General features: G+C 51.1%; 1 protein-coding gene and 1 long non-coding RNA gene across 10 annotated transcripts in view, besides 4 other annotated features; one reads left to right on the plus strand and one right to left on the minus strand.

Annotated features, from left to right (window-relative positions):
• The window catches only part of CMIP (c-Maf inducing protein), a 266,955-nt gene that overhangs the window by 184,075 nt on the left and 62,677 nt on the right, over positions 1–20,203 (plus strand). The window contains exon 1 of one of the 8 annotated variants that reach the window (XM_017023733.2): positions 6,130–6,204. The exons of 6 other annotated variants lie outside the window; for them this stretch is intronic. Coding sequence is in view for 1 of the 2 variants with exons in the window: in XM_047434719.1 (XP_047290675.1) it covers positions 16,666–16,716 (51 nt within the window). In the remaining variant the exon portion in view is untranslated. Of the gene's footprint in view, positions 1–6,129; positions 6,205–16,475; positions 16,717–20,203 lie in introns of those variants that run through there. One more of the 8 variants, XM_047434719.1, reaches the window with a different exon arrangement.
• Positions 1,007–19,275, minus strand: LOC105371362 (uncharacterized). 2 transcript variants are annotated; one of them, XR_007065138.1, is made up of 4 exons: positions 19,190–19,275; positions 3,242–3,327; positions 2,308–2,574; positions 1,007–1,366 (listed from the first exon to the last, which is right to left on the minus strand). It is a non-coding gene; the product is annotated as an uncharacterized LOC105371362 (long non-coding RNA). The 2 variants fall into 2 exon arrangements; XR_933786.3 differs by lacking the exon at positions 19,190–19,275 and having other exon boundaries at positions 3,242–3,484.
• Positions 4,339–5,178: an enhancer, noted in NCBI's record as "H3K27ac-H3K4me1 hESC enhancer chr16:81666826-81667665 (GRCh37/hg19 assembly coordinates)". NCBI's record gives its function as "activates a minimal SCP1, AML or CMV promoter by ChIP-STARR-seq in primed H9 embryonic stem cells {active_cell/tissue: H9 hESC(primed)}" and the evidence as "EXISTENCE:reporter gene assay evidence [ECO:0000049][PMID:30033119]".
• Positions 5,179–6,019: an enhancer, noted in NCBI's record as "NANOG-H3K27ac-H3K4me1 hESC enhancer chr16:81667666-81668506 (GRCh37/hg19 assembly coordinates)". NCBI's record gives its function as "activates a minimal SCP1, AML or CMV promoter by ChIP-STARR-seq in naive H9 embryonic stem cells {active_cell/tissue: H9 hESC(naive)}" and the evidence as "EXISTENCE:reporter gene assay evidence [ECO:0000049][PMID:30033119]".
• Positions 15,859–16,565: an enhancer, noted in NCBI's record as "H3K4me1 hESC enhancer chr16:81678346-81679052 (GRCh37/hg19 assembly coordinates)". NCBI's record gives its function as "activates a minimal SCP1, AML or CMV promoter by ChIP-STARR-seq in naive H9 embryonic stem cells {active_cell/tissue: H9 hESC(naive)}" and the evidence as "EXISTENCE:reporter gene assay evidence [ECO:0000049][PMID:30033119]".
• Positions 16,542–16,836: a silencer, noted in NCBI's record as "tiled region #7704; K562 Repressive non-DNase unmatched - State 14:Gen5'". NCBI's record gives its function as "represses a minimal TATA promoter and a strong SV40 promoter by Sharpr-MPRA in K562 cells {active_cell/tissue: K562}" and the evidence as "EXISTENCE:reporter gene assay evidence [ECO:0000049][PMID:27701403]".

Below are 20,203 nucleotides of genomic sequence, written 5' to 3' on the forward strand. Positions count from 1 at the left end.
CCCAGCACTTTCGGAGGCCGAGGCGGGAGGATCACTTGAGGTCAGGAGTTCGAGACCAGCCTGGCCAACATGGGGAAACCCTGTCTCTACTAAAAATACAAAAATTAGCTGGGCGTGGTGGCTCAGGCCTATAGTCCCAGCTACTCAGGAGGCTGAAGCATGAGAATCGCTTGAACCCGGGAGGCGGAGGTTGCAGTGAGCCGAGATGGTGCCACTATACTCCAGCCTGGGTGACAGAGTGAAACTGTGCTTAAAAAAAAAAAAAAAAAAAAAAAAAAAAAAAAGATAATGTGAATTGACGTCTGACTAGGCAGGCCCCTGTTTCTCACGCAGAAGGGCTGATTGCCTCATCCTGTCTTGCACGTCATCAGCACAGCCGCTGTCAGACCACCTCTCCCAGGCCCGGTGTCACACTCAGGACTGACCCGCTTCCACATCTTCCCCAAACACACTGGTCGCTGTGTCCCCTGACTTTAAACTTGAGGTTTGGAAGCCCAGATCTGGCCTTGCACCTGACTCCCTCACTCTATACAGTGACCCTCCGAGGTGGCTCCTGGCTGGGCCTGTCCCCTCTAGCCCAGCTCATCCCTTGGTCTTGAGGGAAGACGTTGCCCTTGAACCCCACCCCACCTCCGTTTGCCCGTCTAACCCCGTCTTGGCCACCTTCCTCCCTCTCTGTCTCCTTTTCGACCTTTTTACGATCACTTCAAGGTCAGCACCCCCAGCTCCTGCCAGTTATGACCTTGCAGTTCTCCTCCGAGGCTGCGTCCATCTTCACGCAGCCATTTTAGCAGCTGTGGCCAGGCACATGGACAGTCCTGTGAGCCTCGCCAAGGCATGGCAGCTCAGACATCCCAGTGCCGTGCCACAGCGCCCAAGGGAGGCTTCCTAATGGCTGCAGAATCGTCCGTGAAGAGGCTGGGGCCATTTACCAAAGGCCTCTGCTGTGGTTGCCCTTCGGGTCGTTCCCAGCTTTCCTCAGTTATAGATAACGCAGCCATGACCGTCGTGTATCTCAGCTTTCGCTTTATTTGAGTTACTTGTTTAGGGCAGATTTCTAGAAGTGGTTACTGGGCCAGAGAGGAGGGGTATTTTTAGGTGGCTCTCACCACCTATTACCTATTTGCTCCCAAAATAATACTTTCTGCAGCGCTTCAGGGCCAGACTGCCCAGGTTCCAACCCTGATCCACTTCCTGCTGGCTGTGTGACCCTGGACCAGTTGCTTTCGTCTCTGGGCCTCTTGAGTCAAATGAAACCAAGCTCACCAGTTTCTTACGGGGATTAAATGGGTTCACAGCTGTTCAGTATTTAGAATAGCACCTGCCATGTGGTACCCACTCAGAACATTCATTCTTCTTCTCTGATCTACAAGGACACAGAGGAAAACAGGCTCTTGGTGTCGGAGGATGCTAGGAGACGGGGCTGCAGAAGACGGAGGCACATGTGTGGCACGCAGGCCACCGACTCATGAGCCCAGGGCGGGCATCACCCATCAGCCACCGCATGCTTTGCCCTGAGGCAGAGCTCTTCTCAACATAGCCCCTGCCTGGCCACCCAGTTGACAGAGGCAGTGACAGTGTCCCCCGTCCTGCTTGAGTGACCGCCCAGGCCTATGGGGCGAGTGCTCCTGGAGGCCGGGTCAGTGCCACTGGCTCTGGCTGTGCCTCCGTGGGGTTTTCTCACAGAAGCTTCTGTGGAACTTCCAGGCAGGCACCGTGGGTCCATTCTTGGAGGGTCCTACCCTCCGAGAAGGAAGGCAGAATGGTGGGGAGGCAAGGATGGGCGGGAGTCGGCCTTGATCCCCTTCCAGGCCCAGCCACCTGCCTGCTTCATCCAGGTTGAAAAGGCAGGAATTCTATCCAGATTAATTTCTGGCACTCAGTCAAAGAGGGCTTTGTGACCTCTTAAGAGGGGATCAAAGGGATTCAGTGGAGAACTGTGAAAGGAGGGGCTTTCCCCAGAGGCAGGGGGCCCAGCCCACTCCAAGACTGCAGGAGGGGCCCTCAGTGGGAGGTGCAGCTGGTGAGTCCAGCCTGGCAGCCTCTTTGTGCACGTGTTCAATCCAAATGGGAAACCTTTTGGGGCCAGGCTGCCAGTCCCCCGCGAGGGCCACAGTCTCCAGCATCTCCCAGCCACAGCCCAAGCCCCACAGTGGGTCATCAGGGACCCCATAACTAGTAACCAGGGCTGCTTCAGGGATTGAAACTAACAAGTGGCAGAGGGCCGGGAGCATTGGGAAAGAGAGCTCATGTCTCGCAGGCTTTCGTTACAGTAGAGGGAGAGAAAAACAATTACTAGGCACCTACTAGGGTCGGGAGCTCTGCTGGGGACTTCTCAAAATTTGGTTAGGCCTGTCTTGAAGCAGGAGCTGAGGAAGCAGAGAGGCACGTCCAGGATCACACAGCTAGAGACAGGCAGGGCTGTGAATTGAACCCAGGGGACAGGAGGAGGATGGGCCTTTTGGCCTCTTCCGTTGGAGCCCACAGAGCTGCCACTTTGCCCAGCTGGAGCTATCTTTGGAAGAGACACAGGACGTTTTCGAAATAAACTTCTCATTGAAGGATAAAATACATCTAGAAAAGGGTACAAATCAAAAAGAGTTACCATTCACCTGGGCCCCTCCTCCCCACCATGGGCAGCCACTGCTATCCTGACTTCTAGCAGCACAGGTGAGCTTTGCATATACTTGAACTTTATCTAAATGGACTCAGACACCCTGAACTCTTTTGAGACTGGCTTCTTATGATTTGTCTGTGTTGTGTGTAGCAGCAGTTTGTCTATTCACTTTGCTGGGTGGTGTTCTGTTGTCTGGTTAGACTCTGTTAACTTGTTCATTCTGTGGATAGGTCTTTCCAGTTTGGGGCTGTTACGAATAGACCATTGTAAACACTCTAGTGTACATCTTTTGGTGAATGTGTGTCCACAGTCCTGTTGCGTATATGCCTGGGAGCTGAATTATCATTCGTTGATGCTGCCCTGCAGTTTTGCAAAGTGGTTGCACCAGTGTATACTTGCACCAGCAGTGTGCAAGAGCCCTAAGACACAGAGCATTTAAAAACTGGCACTTACGAAGCTTTTTAAAATACCGAAAAGGACAAAGAGAACTAAGAAAATTCCCACTATCCCTAAATCTCTCTTAACTTCTTTTAAATTGTAAAAAAATCAAGCTATTACCTACATGTGACAAAATGTGCATGCCCTAACTGTTGAGTGTGAGGGAGTTCTGACTGCTGTACTCACCTGAGTAACCACCACCTGGATCTCCGTCACCCAGAAGATCTCCTCGCGCCCCTTTCCAGCCAGTTCCTTGTCCTGCCAGATATCCCCTGCGAACATTTAACAAAAATAAAATGCACGTACATAGGTGGTAGTCCTAAAAAGTATAGAAAGGTATAAAATGAAAAGTTGGCCTCTACTCCTTCAAGTCCATTTTCCCCTAGGCAGTCACTGTTAGCAGCTGCACGGGGCTTCTCAGAAAGTGCTTATGAATATTCCTTTGTAAACACCACGCAGACTTTATCATCCACGCGGTTCCGTTCCATGCTCCTTAATATATGTCGCAGCAGTGTCTGCAGTAGCACACAAATCCACACCATTTTCTTTTCTAGTTTCATAGTCTTCCCTTCAGGCAGAGTTTAAGGTGGATGGAACTTTAGATCCTTTAGGAAAATGCTGTCATCCACATAGGGAGACTGAGTTTCTGACAGGAAGGAGAGGTTTATTGAGCATCTACTATCCACAGGCCAGAGGCAGTACAAGGCGGTTTGCTGCCCAGGCCTCGCAGCCCCCCAACACGGAAGCCTGTAAGCACACTCCAGGGACCAGGGTGGAGTGAGCTGCCCCTGGCTACAGAGCTGGGAGGTGGAGGTCCTAGGTTTGCACCATGTGCCTGGGTCACCGAGCCTTCCCTTGCACTCCCCTGTCCCTGGCCAGGGCTTCCTCAACTCTACATAAGGGCCAGCCTTGGGCTTTGGGACATTCAAGACACCCCCACCCCCACCTTCTGGGTAAAGGTCTTTCCTGAGCCTCAGAAATGACGCATTACAGTGGCTTCCCAAACTGCGAAGGAAGAAGTGGCGTTTGTGGGTTGTCATCGTTTCTTTGGGCAAGGAAGGGGGGACCCGAGCGTTCGTGTGTCATCCAGCGCAGGCTTTGATGAGGCTGATGAGTCATGGAGCCATACAAGGAAGTTTTTCATGTAAACGGTTTGTGGGTGAACTTGTTTTTTGCCCTTTAAGGCAGAATTTTGTTTTTCTTTTTCTCGCCCTTTAAAGACAAGTTTTTAAAACGTAAATGAGAGGCAGCGTCTTGATGAGCAAGATCTTTTGTTCTGCAGGCGTCTGCAGTGTGTCTCTTTCACAGCCAGTGGTGGGCAGTGGAGGCCCCTGAGCTGGGTTGCTGATCTGCACTTGGGGCACACCTTGGCCAGGTGTCCAGCCTGGAAGAGGGAGGTGGCCTGCCATTCTTTTGTTGGCCTCCAGGGCTCCCACCTGCTGGCCTGTTGGCTCGGAGATGAGGCCAAACAGAGACTTTAAAAAGAGCAGTGCTTGTCCCCACAGAGGAATTAGGCCCTTGCTTCACCGAGGGATCATCAGAAAATACCCAGCGGGACAGCCGGCTAACTCTGGAAGGGAAGGTGTTTGGGAGAGAGGATAATTGACCGGGAGATGATGCAGAACGACTAGGGCCCTGAGGGCTGTTGCCCACATTCTGCTCGCCGGAGCACCCTGGTGCACTTTCAGAACCAACAGACTGTTTTGCAGAAAGCCTTGAGAGGGACAGAGACCCCCTTTCAGAGAAACTGAGGCCACTCCTAATGGAGCTTGCTGGCACGTGGCAGCAGAAGGCCAGGGTGGTTTGTTTCCAGCGGGGGCTGGCACATGCTTGGACCATTCCCTTTGGAAAACTGGGCTGAACCTGACCTCTGTCCAGGAGTACAAGGACCTTAGAAAGCACACCCCAGAGGTCGGGGCCAGCCTGACACCGGCTGGAGGCAGGAACAGACTCAGGCAGACCATTCATCATGTCTGTTGACTTTTGAGACTTTTGTTAAAGTCTGCAACCAATCTTCCATCCAAGAGGGTCCTTATCATCCCAGGCCTCCTGGCACTGCAGACCCAGGGATTTTGAACCGGTAGCTCAGTGGTTTTCAGAGTGAAGTCCCAAGACTAGCAGTATCTGCATCACCTGGGAACTCTCTAGAAATGCCAGTCTTCAGTTTCACAAACTCTGAGGTGGCAGGATGAGAGCAGCAAACTATTTTAACATACCCTCCGGGTGACTGTGATGCACCCCAGCGTTTGAGAACCACTGCAGTAGTGTGAAGAAAGGGGAAAGAACAATAAACATCTATTGAGTGCCTACTGTTTTCCATCTACTTTATTTTCATTATTTTCTTTAGGCTGCACAGTGTCCCTGGGTTTTATATCTCCATTGTATGAACACGAGTCTGACTCTCAGATTAACCTTCTCATGCATCCAAGCTGGAATTCAAACCCAGAGTCTGCTGCCTCCTTCTGTAACCATTTCACCTTCTTACTGGGTTTCTCATAGCCTGAGATCAAGCATGGATGACTAAACGTGTCCATAGCTTTCGGGTTACTCTGCCAGAATCCCCTCTGTTTGTGCAGGTCACTTAGAATTCACTGTGGTGAACACCATTGAACTCACTCCTAGGACGCTGAGCTTCTCTGGGTGAGTAGAGTCTGCCGCACGAGTGTCTGAGGAGCCGCCTCCCCAGGGAGGGCAGGAGTGCGCCTTCTCCTATATTCAAGCATGACAGCATTACCTGGCTTGAAACTCACATTAGAGACTTACTGAACATTAATTTATTAAAGAACAGGATCCTTCTCCAGGATTCTCATAAGTTAAAGCCCTTTGTAGTAGGCGCCGGTGACTCCCACCCAGAGGATGCAGCTGGGAAGGATGGAGGCTTCCAAACAAAGCCATGAACAGATCAGATGTCCTTTGAAGTGCTGCAAGCACTAGATAAAGTTCTTAGTGAAATAAACAACAGAGGCCCCTGTTGAGATGCTACCGTCTTGAGGCCTGGCAAGGGAAATCCTTATTTGGGATAGAGAGAGTTCCCTTTATCAGGCCCAAAGGAAACAGAGCCTGTGGTGTCCCTCACTGTATTTCGGAAGGGCTAGGAAACTCGCCTGGGGCTGCCCGCCTCCCACACCACAGAGGAAGAGCAGGCTCTGGTACAGTATTTGCATTTTTTTATTTATTTGGTGGGTTGCAATTAAGCAGCGTTGTTTCCTGAAATGCCCTGAAAATGCCACCTTATATTAATGATTAATAAGAGGTGTTCCCCACCCCCACCCCGTAGTCTTTAATGTTGAGTGCAAATTGCTTTTTCGCTCTGGGTGGCCTTGGTCAAGAGGGGAGGGCCAATTACTGAGGTTCAGAAGGCCAAGCTGGTGGCCCTGTCAGAAAGACCCTCAGGAGGGTTGGCACACAGGACAGAGTCAGGGGGAAGGATTTGGTCGGCTTCATTTTAATTTTTTAAAGGTATATCCTACCTCTGCTTAATGACCCTTGAAGTGGCTTAGAAAAGCACACAGACTGGGAAAATCGATACGAATTGATCTGGAGTGACACCCACCAGGTGTTAGGAGGGAAAAGCCAGATGCAGACATAAGTATTATGCAGTGCCATTTGTGTAAAATGAAATGAGGACCCCACAAAACCTGTCTGTATCGTGTTGGTGCAAAAGTAATTGCAGTTTTTGCCGTTGAAAGTCTGCTGCCAGACAAATATATATTTGTATTTGATTATCCGTGACCATGGAGAAAGAGATGAAATGATAGACGTCAAGCGTCTGCAAACGATCTGGCCCAGCACCTGTTTTTATAAATAAGGAGTTTTCAGGGTGGCGGGGACAGCTCTGCCCATTTGGGGGAGGGGGGGACAGCTCTGCCCATTCCTGCTGTGGCATTAAGCTGGTGACAACAGAGGTGGCATGACCCACAAAGCCTGGACTATTATTATTTGGCTCTTAGGAAAATGGTTTGTGGACCCCGATATATAACATAGTCTCAAATTTTCGGGGTTTACATGGTGAGCATGGAGTTAGCATGGATTCAGGGGGTGGCGGGAGGGAGGGCCGTGGTAAGGTTAAAAAGAAGAAAGCCAGCATGTATGATGCAGCTGAAACTTAGGTGCAGTTTTAAATTGGGCTGGTTGTGTGTTTGTGTGTGTGAGTGTGTGTGTAACTGGGTTGTGGGTGTGTGTGTGCACCATGATACAGGTGTGCGGGCCATGAGCCTTCCATGCTGGAGTTCTTGTCCTCTGTATGAATTTTTCAAAGAACATGCACTTGAAAAATCGGATTATCCATCTACTAGACCACTGAAAAGTCAAAAGTAGTAAGATCTCAGATGCCTTCCAGTTCTCTTTAAGAATATGGGATTCTGGCCCGGTGTGGTGGCTCGTGCCTGTAATCCCAGCACTTTGGGAGGCTGAGGCAGGTGGCTCACCTGAGGTCAGGAGTTCAAGACCAGCCTGGTCAATGTGGTGAAGCCCCATCTCTACTAATAATACAAATTAGCTAGGCGTGGTGGCAGGCGCCCGTAATCCCAGCTACTAGGGAGGCTGAGGCATGAGAATCGCTTGAACCCAGGGGGCAGAGGTTGCAGTGAGCCAAGATTGCGCCACTGCATTCCAGCCTGGGTTACAGAGTGAAACTTCGTCTCAAAAAAAAAAAAAAAAAAAAAGTATGGCATTCTGACTAATTTAAGAATCCTGGGGAAAGATACAATATCACCGTCATGATTCCAATTTCTGAAATCTTTGGAGAGTTTTTTCCTTTATTTCTCTTTAATTAAATGCACAATGCATGAACGGCTTCCTGCAATAATTTGAAACATTGCAGATAAAGCTGAGCCCTACCCGTTGGTCCTCCCCCGAGCCACTTCCGTCTCCAAAGAAGACAGCTGTCACCAGCCGGACTTGGTCCCCACCCCCCACCCCCTGAAGCCCCGTGAATTAGATCATATATATGTGTATGTCAACATAGATTATGCATGTATTTGCTACTGTACTTAACAGCATGTTGTGCAGGTGGAATCCACGGCAGATCTTGTAACCCTCCTTCCTTCTTTTTAACTGCTGTTTGCTGTTGCACTGTGGGGGCCACAGTGTAAGCACTTCTCTATTGATGGACATTTAGGGGGTTTCTGGTCACCTTTTTTATTTTTTTTGAGACAGAGTTTCGCTCTTGTTGCCCATGCTGGAGTGCAGTGGCACAATCTTGGCTCACTGCAACCTCTGCCTCCTGGGTTCAAGCATTTCTCCTGCCCCAGCCTCCCAAGTAGCTGGGATTACAGGTGCGTGCCACCATGCCCAGCTAATTTTTTTGTATTTTTAGTAGAGACGGGGTTTCATCATGTTGGCCAGGCTGGTCTTGAACTGCTGACCTCAGGTGATACACCTGCCTCGGCCACCTGAAGTGCTGGGATTACAGGTGTGAGCCACGGTGCCCAGCTGGTCACCTTTATTTTTTCTAAGACATTAACTGTCTTTAGTCAGTGTCCTACTGAACTCAATAGGTGTCATTTATCAAGCCTGAAATGTGACATTTAATTCTCCCAATAGCTCCAGGATGCAAATGCTACTATTATCCCCATTTTACAGATGAGGAAACTAAGGTTCAGAGAGGTGATGTAGTTTGCCTAAGGCTGCACAGCTCATAAGAAGCGGAAAAGAAATTCAAGTGTAGATCTGCCCGACTCTCCGTTTGTGATGATGCACACATCTGCGAGCAAAAACATGGCTTGCTTGAGCCTCTGAGCTCCCAGGAGTGTGCAGGCTGGTGGGGGAGGCAGCTGGCCCATAGGTCGTAGAGTGAGCAAAGAGTGATGAGGGTAGTAAGTTGGCATGCTGAGCATGGGGCTGGGACCTGCCAGCCTCCCTGGCGCAACAGAAATTCATTTCTCATGGTTCTAGAGGCCAGGAAGTCCACCATCAAGGTAGATTGGTGAGGGCTCGCTCCCTGCGTCACAGAGGGTGCCTTCTCGCTGTGTCTCACATGGGAAGGGGTGAGGGAGCTCCCCCAAGCCTCTTTTCTAAGGGCACTGATCCCATTGGTGAGGGCTCCACCCTCATGAACTAATCACCCCCACGAGGCCCCACCTCCTAACACCCCCCCCACTGGGGATTAGGTTTCAATAATGAATTTTTTGAAGATACAAACATTCAGAGCTTAGCACTTGGCTTGTGGCCCCCTCACTCCGGTGTCTGCCTCCATGGTCACATGGCCTGCGCCTCCTCTGTCTCTCCTTTGTATACTTCCTGGGGATACTCGTCACTGGATTCAGGACCCACCAGATAATCCAGCGTGATCTCCCCATCTCAAGATCCCAAACGTGGGATGTTGCATTCACAGATGGCAGGGGTTGATGTGGACATACCTTCTTTGGGGCCACCAGTCACCTCATGACCCAGGCAGGAGTTTGCCTCTCTTAGTGAATGTGTCTCCGGGCACAGCCCTCCCCCCAGAGCATCTTGACACAGGAATGAGCAGAAGAAAATCCCACAGCTCTTGGCCCACCCCCACCTGCACGGGACTCTCTGAGGGGATGGTGCCTGGGATTTGATTAAGGAACCCTGAGAAACTGGTCGTATCCTTATCAAGGCCAGAGCATAACACGCCCGAGGCGACGCTCCTTATTGTCCCTTCTGTCACCTCTCATCCCTCCCCTTGTCCCTTTCCTCTCCCCCCTCTCCCTTCTCCTTGGAGAAGAACCCGGCAGCTTCTGCCTGCACCTGAGAATGTTTTCCCCTCTTTCCCTCTTTCTATAGCCTGTTCAAAATCTTAACTTAAAACCTGCTGAACTGGGTGTTCCTGCCCCAGTTCAGCCTCCTGTGGGAATGAGGGAGGTGCCTCCTGTCCGCACAGCCTCTGGTCAGCCTGAGAGCAGGGAATCCAGGAGGACAGGAGGGGCGGGCAGGCTGTGTTGAGTTTTAGAATTCTGAAAGAGGGGCGCCTGTTCTAGTCCATGAGGAAATGCACTTCTCCAGGCCCACCCCACACCCGGCCCACCCGTGCAGGCTGTTTTTCCACTGCACTCAGTTTTCCTGGAGAAACAGCCCCCGCCGGGATTAGGACCGTGTGAAGATCAGAGAGCCTTTCCAGAATGCCGAGGGAGAGTCCAGGATTGTTCCTGTGTGTGTGGCTCAGTCCCTTCAAGGACCGGAGCTCAGGACCAGGGGGTGACCCTGAGCCAGAATCCTGGTTCCTACAGGGCCGGCTGTGACCTGGAGTGGGTTACCTTTTCCTCTGTGTGTTGTGGTCTTCAAGTCTGTAGAATGGGGGTCGCACCTGTTAACCCCGGCTGCACCACATTCAGATCACCTGGAGATCTTAAATATTCTCTTGTTTAGTTCGGTGAAATATGCATGAGGCATCATTTGAACCAGGTTTAGGTGGCAGTTCAGTGGTTCATTCACGTTGCCGTGCTGCTGTCACCACCATCCGTCTCCAGAACTTTCTCCTCTTCCCAAATGGAAACTCTGTCCCCATTACCCCCTCCCCCAGCCCCTGGCATCCACCATTCTGCTTTCGGTCTCTAAGAATTTGTCTACTCTAGGGACCTCATATGCGTGGAATCACACAAGATTTGGCCTTTTGTGGCTGCCTTATCTCAGCCTAATGTCCCCAAGGTTCATTCATAGTGTGGCCTGCGTCAGGATTTCCTTCCTTTTTAAGACAGAATAATGCTGCAGTGAATGGGTAGACCACACCTTATGTCTCTCTTTATCCATTGGTGGACCTGGGTTGCTTCTGCCTTTTGGCTGTTACGAATGACGCTGCTGTGAACATGGGTGTGCAAATGCACTTTTAAATATACCGGCGCTCAAAAAAGTCCTGATGCATAGGTTCTGCCTGCCCCCAACACCAGTCTGATGGGATTGTCCTGAGGTTGGACTCCGTTATTGGAATTCTAAGCCCCTTGGGTGGTTTTAATGTGTAGCCAGGGTCAAGAACCCTGCCTGATAGAGTCATTTGGGGCACACCTCAGCACAGGGCCCAGTACATAGGAAGCCCGGGGATGTTAGCTGGTGTGATGGTGGCTGCTGGTGTCGGCTGATGTACAGCTTTGTGTGAGAGGACAGCTTGGGGCCGGAATCCTCCCCCATGGCTCCTCTTTGCCAGGGACCCTGTGCGAGCCCCATGCTGACGTCCCTACCCGAATTCTCCTGGAAGTTCCTCCTGTAGCCTCCTGGGTCCCCAGGTGGCTCCCTCTGACCTCACTGATGATGCAGGTGCCCAGGTGTGCCGTTTCTGACGCAGGGCAGGGCCAGGGCTTATGCAATCGGGTAATGGGCTGGAGGCGGGCCTTAGGGTGGAAGTCAGTGTTTCTGTCCCCTGCTGCAGCAAGAGCAGGATAGGACATCAGGCCCCCCCCCCCCCAATTCCCCAGGGAAAGAAAACCCAACCAATTCCAAACCCAGCTCCCACTTTCTCAACCACAGTTGCAGAGGGCCCTGCTGCCTTCTGTGAAATGATGGGGCTGGACGGCTCAGCTCGAGTCACCGCAGTAAGATGGCAGACTGACTGGGACCAGGCGTCCTGGGGTCAGTCCTTGCTTGCTCCTTACAGCTGTCTGGGCTTCCAACAGCTGCTATGACAAATTTCCGTAAACTGTGTTGCTTAAAACAACAGAAATTTGTTCTCACACAATTCTGGGGCCAGATGTCCAAAATCAAGGTGTCAGCAGGGCCACATTGCTTCTGAGACTCTAGGGGAGGGCCTTTTCCTTGCCTCACCCAGCTTCTGATGGTGTCCGGCTATCCTTGATGCGCCTTGGCATCCAGGCTCTGCCTCCATACGTGGAGGTCTCTCTGGAGCATGTGTGTGTGTGTGTGTGTGTGTGTGTGTGTGTCTCTCTCTCTCTCCACATGGCCTTTTTATAACGACGCCAGTCACTGGATTTAGGGCCAACTCTAATCCAGTATGACCTCATCTTAATTATATCTGCGAAGACCCCATTTCCAAAGAAGGTCATAGTCACAGATACCGGGCTTAGGACTTGGACATATGTTTTGGGCAGACACAGTCCAACCCACAACACCAGCTGTGTGACCTGGGCAAGGTGTGAGCCCCTCCTCTCCTCTGCAGCACGTCCACCATGAAATGAGGCTTGTGGGTGAGAACCTTGCTTCTTAGAGGGCTCAGGAACATCTGTGTCACCTGGAAGCTGCTTAATGCAGATTCCCAGGCCTCGCCCAGCTCTGCTGAGCTGGAATCTGCATGGTAACCAGACCCCCAGGCAATTCCTGTGCACACGAATGAGAGTTGCAGGGTAGGTGAAAGGATTTGGTGCAGGGCCTGGCCTAAAGCAGCACCTAACGCATGTTAGCCTTCAGTGCCATTTTCATTCTCCCCACTGCCTGTTCTACCTGCAACAAACACCGAGAGCACCTTCCCTGGGTGGCTGCAGTCACCATCCAACACATCGGAGGAACAGATGAGATGTCATCCCTGCTCCCAAGCAGCTCCTAGCTCAGCGAGGAAAACAGCTACATACAATTTTTTTTTTAATGTGCTCAAACAGCATCTGCGTGATGATTGGATTTTGCCCACGGTGCAGCTGGCCTGAAGAGCCAGGTAGGATGTGGTACTCAGCTGGGAGCCTGACACCAAGGCCAGCTTATCTCCTTGCCAGCCAGGCACGTGGTTACCTAGGCAACCAGCCGATGCCGCAGAGACAGTGGAGCAGGACACCCGCCTGAGTTCCCGCTGTTTCCCTGGAAGCGGCATTGAGCACAGGAGGCCACCACCGGTGGGCATTTAGGCGTTTTCCCCTCTTGCAAACAAATTGCCCATCTCCCCAGGAGCTGGCTTTTCAGGCAGGTGTCCACTGGGCACCCAGCTGCACCAGCCTGCAACTGCCTTTGGGAAACCGAGGAGGCGAGGCTCAACTCTCCGATTTGAAGGCAGCAGAATCATTGATCAAGGCATAGAGGTGCTCAGGTTTGCCTCTCGGAGTGGCATGATGGTCAGGTGCTCAGGATCCAGAGCTAGACCTGGATCCCAATTCTGCCTAGCTCTTAGTAGCTGCATGACTTACCTCACTCAGCCTCGATGTTCTCATCTGTAAAATGGGACTTACATTATACCACTCACCTCATTTAGTGGATGGGATGATTTAAAATGTATTTATACAAAGTGCTTCGCACAGGACCTGGCCTATGGAGTGCCCTTCAGAAGCGATGGCTTTTCCGCTGTCTTGTCACTCGTCATTCATCAGAACCCAGTGTGCGTGCTTGCTGTTCTTGGAAAATGTCAGCCCTTGATATGTAGTAGCCATTATGACTGTAATGAGTAGTTTGGTTAGAATGTTCTGTGCCCTGTCTCACCCTTCAGCCAGACTGGGAGTGTGCAGGGGCTGGTTTGTCTCATCTCTGTATCATTTCCCCCACTCCCTGCCCCTCCATAGAGACAGTGCCCCACTCAGAGTAGGCGTCCCTCCACCCACCTTGAAAACATGAGTCCTGAAGGGTAAGCATTGATTAATTCATCAATGAATTAGTTGGACCAGCAGGTAACAGAGTTCAGTAATTGTGTGGGGTAAATTGGGGTCCCCTAAAAGACCCCTTACACCCTGTGCTGTCCTGTGGCAAAATTTAAACTGATTCAGTGCAGTTGAGGCACGGGGACAGGGCAAAAAGCAACAATATATGTGCATAGCAGCACTATTCATGATAGCCTACGGTGGAGACAACCCAAGAGTTCATCAGCGGATTAACAAAGAAATTGCAGTGTATCTGCCGGGCGCGGTGGCTCTCCTGAGGTCAGGAGTTCGAGACCAGCCTGGTCAACATGGCGAAACCCTGTCTCTACTAAAAATATAAAACTTAGCCAGGCGTGGTGGCGGGCGCCTGTAGTCCCAGCTACTCGGGAGGCGGAGGCAGGAGAATCGCTTGAACCCGGGAGGCGGAGTTTGCAATGAGTTGAGATCGCACCACTGCACTCCAGCCTGGGTAACAGAGTGAGACTCCATCTCGCAAAAAAAAGAAAGAAAGAAATTGCAGCGTATCCATGCAGTGGACTGTTAGTCATGGAAGGGGGTGAAGCAAAGCTGCCACAGCCGGATGAACCTTGAGGACGGTATGCTAAGTGGACAGAAGGCCACATTGTGTATGATTTATATGCAGTGGAAGACACATGTTAACCCACAACAGTTTTGGCAGACACAGTTCCACCCACAACACAAGCTATGTGACCTGCGCAAGGTATGAACCTCTCCTCTCCTCTGTAACACGTCCACCTCGTGGAGGAGAGGAAGTGAGGCATGTGGGTGAGAACCTTGCTGCTTAGAGGGCTCAAGGACATCTGTCTCACCTGGAAGCTGCTGAATGCAGATTCCCAGGCCTCACTGTGGTCACAAAAGGACACATAGTGTATGATTCCATTTATATGCAATGTTCAGAATAGGGGAATCCAGGAACAGAAAGTGGATTGGTAGTTGCCCAGGGGCTGGGGGAGAGTACAATAGGAAGTAACAGCTTAAAAGGGTTTCCTTGGAAGTGATGGAGAAGTGTTGGAAATAGTGGTGGTGGTTACACAACACTGTGCTAAACGCCGCTGAAGTGTTCACTGTAAATGGGTACATGGTGGCCGGGCGCAGTGGCTCACACCTGTAATCCTAGCACTTTAGGAGGCCAAGGCGGGCAGATCATCTGAGGTCAGGAGTTCGAGACCAGCCTGGCCAACATGGTGTGAAACCCCATCTCTACTAAAAATACAAAAATTAGCCGGGTGTGGTGGTGGGCGCCTATAATCCCAGCTGCTGGGAAGGCTGAGGCAGGAGAATCACTTGAACCCAGAAGGCAAAGGTTGCAGTGAGCCGAGGTCATGCCACTGCCTGGGTGACAGAGCGAGACTCTGTCTCAATAAGTAAGTAAATAAATAAATAAATAAGGTTAATGGTTAATTTTATGGTGTGTGGATTTTACCTCAATGAAGTAAATCTATATGTATGTGTATATAGTGATGGCAGCCCCCTGGTGCCTCAGACAGCCTAGTTTCTCAGGCCAGAGTGATGGGCTGTGACTGGTAAAGCCCCTGTGTGATTCCCGGAGGCACTAGGGTTGTCCCTACCAAGCCTGGGGCAAGAAAGGAATCCCAGTCAGAGAGAAAAAAAATAGTGTTCAGTCTAATCCCAGAAGCACCGTTGACCCTATAGCCCTGACCTGTAATGAAAACGAACGAAACATGCATTTACAATATTTCTTTAAAAATGAGATTTTGGGGGTCTCACTTTCTAGTTAAGTTGAGTGTCTTCTCGTTATTTTATACTCCACAATTAGATCACAGATGCCCTCCAGTCATGGTGGTGCTGGTGCCCATGTATTTCACTGGAAATGTGCACAGATAATCGGGACAGTGTTGCCTCCTTCCCTGGAAAATTGTAGCCAAAGCACCGAGGCTGATTTTGTGACATGGATTGTGTGGGCTAGCAGGCATGGGGAATAAGGCCAGGGGGCTGTGTTTGACCCAGGGTGTCTCTGTGGGGAGTGCACCAGCAGGGAGCTGAGAGGTTATGAGCGGGTTTTAGGTTGATGTTGAAGACTTGGCGGCCAAAAGGGCAGTTTGGGGGTAACACCCATGGGACAGTTATGAGGCCTGCATTATATATGAAGGTAATGTGACAGTCTCTGATGCTCACCGGATTGAAGGGAAGCTATTCTGGAGGACTCAAGAAGGCCAAAAATGCTGCCTCCCAAGTGTCCAGTCCTCCCGGAAGCCATGGCTTGCTGGAGATAGCAAATTATTTCCTACACACTTAGCATCTGCAGCCATAGTGAGTCTTGAATCAGGGAAGCCAGGGAAGATAACCAGCCAGCCATTGTCCCCGGGTGTGCAAGGCACAAGTGGGGACATTGCACCTTGGTAGACCTTTTAAGAAAATTCCAAGGCAGGGTCCCAGTGAGATGGGGGCTTGGAGAGGGGGGTCTCCCATGGGAGGAGGTAGGCAAGGGCCCTTTCCTCGGGCCGAACGCAGTGCCACACACATACTAGACCTCAGCATCGATGGGTAGAGGCAAACATGCATGCTCCTGGGCCCGTGGGGACGTGATGACAGGGACACCAAGACTTTCGGATAGCACTGCCCGACGGAGCATTCTGCGATGATGAAAATGTTCTCTGTCTGCACCACTATAGTCACCACTAGACACAGCTGGCTACCGAGTAACTGTAATGTTACGATGTGATCAAGATGCTGGATTTGTAGTTGTATTTCATTTTAATGAAGTTCAGTGTGCGTAGCCACCTGGGGCTGGTAGCTTCTGGACTAGGCAGCTCCGCTGTAGGACCTGCACTGGAAAAAGTTTTCAAAGCCGGGCTGGGTCCTCCCTGGCTCATATTTCCCTGTGGGGTCCTCCTCCACTCTGCAGTGCCATGGGCGCGCCCGTGCAGCGTCCTCTCTTCACGACAGGTGGTGGGGAGCATGCGTGCTTGGGTGTGTACGCGCGCGAGCCCCAGAGGCTGCGGCAGCAGCAGAGCAGCAGAGCAGCAGCCCCTGCCTGGCGCGACGTGCTTCCAGTGCATTCTGAGTCACTCCTCTCCTGGCAAGGGGCACATTCCTGCTGACGACTTGTCTCCCGTGGAGGAGCAACAGGCTCTGCTTTCCCTGGCCTGAGAACCCTGGCATATGTGCTTGCCTCTGCTGACAGTTGCCAGAGCGATGGCAAGTGTTGCCCAGGTAACGTCCCTTCCTTGACAAGCAGAGAGGGTGAGGACAGCGCTGGAGTGGCTGACTCTGCCAGACGGGAAGCAGGAGGCTCTGCCTGCTGTCTCTGCTTGCCGCTGGCTGGTGGGGCTTGGGCTCGGATGTGGGGAGCCCTCCTGAGTTCTACCTCCCTGGACTACTCCTTTACAGAACTTGGTAGGTGAAAACAATCAGAGCTGCTGTTTAGCCAGGAACTGAGCTAAGTGTTTTATATATTATCTCATGAAATAGTCACAGCAAGCCTTTGACAGTAGTTATTCTTATCCTGATTTGCAGACAAGGAAACTGGTGCAAGTAATAGACTGTAAGTTTCATGAGCACCGGGGCTTGTCTGCTTTGTTCACCATGGTTATCCTTAGTACTTAACATAGTGCTTGGCACGTCATAGTAGATCTTCATGGGATGATTGGATGGAAGGGTGAATAGATCGATGAGTGAGTGATGGAAGTATGGATGGTAGATGGGTGATGAATGGATGATGAGGTGGGTGAAGGATGGATGGGTGGGTGGGTGGATAGTTGGGTGGGTGGATAGTTGAGAGGGTAGGTGAATGGTTGGATGGATAAGTAGATGGATGAATGAATGAGTGGATGGATTAATGGATGGATGGGTGGGCGGGTGGGTGGATGGATGGATGGATGGATGGATGGATGGGTGGGTGGTTGGGCAGATGGATGGATGTGTGGGTGAATGGTAGGTGGGTGAGTAGATGATGGATGGGTGGATGGATGAAGTAGAGCTTAGATTTGATCTGGAGTCTGCTCGTGAAGCCTATACGCTTCGCCACTGAGCCATACTACCTTTGGTTTTGTCTGATGACTACCTCCCTAGGATAGCATTTTTAAAAAATAGCATTATTGAAATGGAATCCACATACCATAAAATTCACCCACTGTGAGTACACAATTCAGTGATCTTAGTAAATTTATAAAGTTGTACAGTCATCACCACAATTCAGTTTTAGAGCATTTCCACCATCTTGAAAGATGCCCTCATGCTTGTTTGCAGTCTCATTCCTGTTCTGTGCCCCAGGCAATGAATGTTCCACTTTCTGTCTCTGTGAAATTGCCTTTCTAGACATTTCACATAAGAGAAATCATACACTATGTCTTTCTTATCTGGCTTCTTTCCCTTAGTGTAGTGGTTATGAGTTGCATCCGTCTTGTAGCATGTGGGTAATTCAATCCTTTTTATTGCCAAATACTGTTTGGTTGAATGGCTATACCACATCTTGTTTATCCATTCATCAGTTGATGAATTTAAGTTGTTTCTGTGAAGAATGCTGCTATGGACATTCTTGGGCATGTCTTTGGAGTTTGTTTCTCTTTCTCTTGGGTAGATTTCTAGGAACAGAATTGCTGGGTCATATGATAAATTTATGTATAATGTTTTAAGAAACTTTCAAACAATTTTCCAAGGTGGCTGTACCAGTTTACCTTCCCACCAGCAACACACAAGATTCCCAGTTTCTCCACACCTTTGCCAACACTTGGCGTTGTCTGTCATTTTCTATTACAGCCATCCTCGTAGGACGAAGTCGTATCTCTTTATGGTTTTAGCTTGCGTTTTCCCGAGGGCTAATGACGTTGAGCATCTTCTTTGCATGCTTACTCCTAGGCTGGAATTTGACTTTTAAAGCCAGACCTTGGCAAACTGTTTTCTACAAAGGGCCAGATAGCAAATATTTGGGGCTTTGTGGGCCACATTGGATTTCTGTTGCATATTCTGTGTTTATTTTCCGTCACAACTCCTACAGTTTGTGAGACCATTCTTGGTCTCATCGAACAAAAACAGGCAGGGGGCTGGGTTTCACCGCATGCTATAGTTCACCAACCCTGCTCTAAGTCAGCCCCTTTCTGTGAAAACACCAGGTCGTGTGCCCAGCCACAGAACAGTTCCAAGGCCCCTGTGTACTCCCCACTTCAGAAGAATCCAGTGGCCTGTGGGGTCCATGCTAGACAAACCACCAGGCCACCCACCCCACCTGGCAAAGCGCACTCAGCAGGAAGACCATATTGCAAAGCTGAGGGCCAGCCTCCAGGGAGCCTGGAGCAGGGATTCCGGAGGCGTCCCTATCCCAGCTCCACCATGATTCATCACCTGATGAGCTCATCAGAGTTCCTGGGATGAGGCATGCTAATTTGTCACCTAGGGAGGAGGGACAGGGCCCTGTTGATCCTGGACAGGCCTCCCTCATCCCTGTGGCCACCCTGACCTGGGGCTCAGAGCCTCTTCTGGGAACAGGGGCCTGCCTGCAGCCCGCACCCACAACGCCGTAGCCCACCCTCCCCCCGCACCCGCAGAGCCGTAGCCCACCCTCCCCCCGCACCCGCAGAGCCGTAGCCCACCCTCCCCCCACACCCGCAGAGCCGTAGCCCACCCTCCCCCCGCACCCGCAGAGCCGTAGCCCACCCTCCCCCTGCTGCTTCCACCGCCTTCTGGTTACCTGGCCTCCACTCTCAGAGCCTTGTGGATCTTGTTTCTGGATCTTGTCCTTGTGTCACCAAGCATTCTTGACACTTCTTCAGGATCTCTTGGCAAATCTGATATCCTCTTCACCCGACCATCGTGGCCCTCACTGATGTGATGGAAAGAGCTTTGCAGTGGCCAGAGCCAGTTTTCATTCCTGAATTGTCCCTTTCTAGCTGCTTGACTCTGGGCAAGTCTCTTGACCTCTCGGGGCCATGATAGGCTTCTGTGCACAGAGAACACCAACAATCCTCTGGCAGAAGCTGCAGCTGGCCACCCCCTCAGCATCGCGTGAGGGCTGCCAGCTGTGCACCATGAACACCTGTGACCCTGCAGAGCGCATGCTTTTTTCTGGCTGTGGGATCACTTTGGCCTGGGCACACGGCAGTCAGAAGCCCTGAAGAGTTGGCCAGGCGCAGTGGCTGCCGCCTGTAATCCCAGCACTTTGGGAGGCCGAGGCGGGTGGATCACGTGAGATCAGGAGTTCAAGACCAGCCTGGCCAACATGGTGAAGCCCATCTCTACTAAAAATACAAAAATTAGCTGGGCATGGTGGTGCACACCTGTAATCCCAGCTTCTTGGGAGGCTGAGGCAGGAGAATCACTTGAACCTGGGAGGTGGAGATTATAGTGAGCTGAGATCTCACCACTACACTCCAGCTTGAGTGACAGAGCAAGACTCTGTCTCAGAAAAAAAAAAAAAAAAAAAAAAAAAAAAAAAAAAAAGCCCTGAAGAGTTTAGGGAGCTAATGGACAAATGGCCAGCTCCCTCACTCTTTAGGAACGTCAACTCTGAGTGTGATCTGCACTGTCCCCTAGAGCCCCCAGCAGGAGTGAGCCCTCATTGCCTATATCATGTGCTTGACAGTGCCCTGTTTATTGACTGTCTTCTCTTGCCCGTCTCACTTCCCCACTCTCCCCACCAGTATTTCCTGCTGTTCCCTCTCAGATCAGTAAGCCATTTGCACTCAGTCCCTTGTCTCAGGGTCCT

This window comes from Homo sapiens, chromosome 16, assembly GCF_000001405.40.
Source record: "Homo sapiens chromosome 16, GRCh38.p14 Primary Assembly".
NCBI classification, from domain to species: Eukaryota; Metazoa; Chordata; class Mammalia; order Primates; family Hominidae; genus Homo; species Homo sapiens.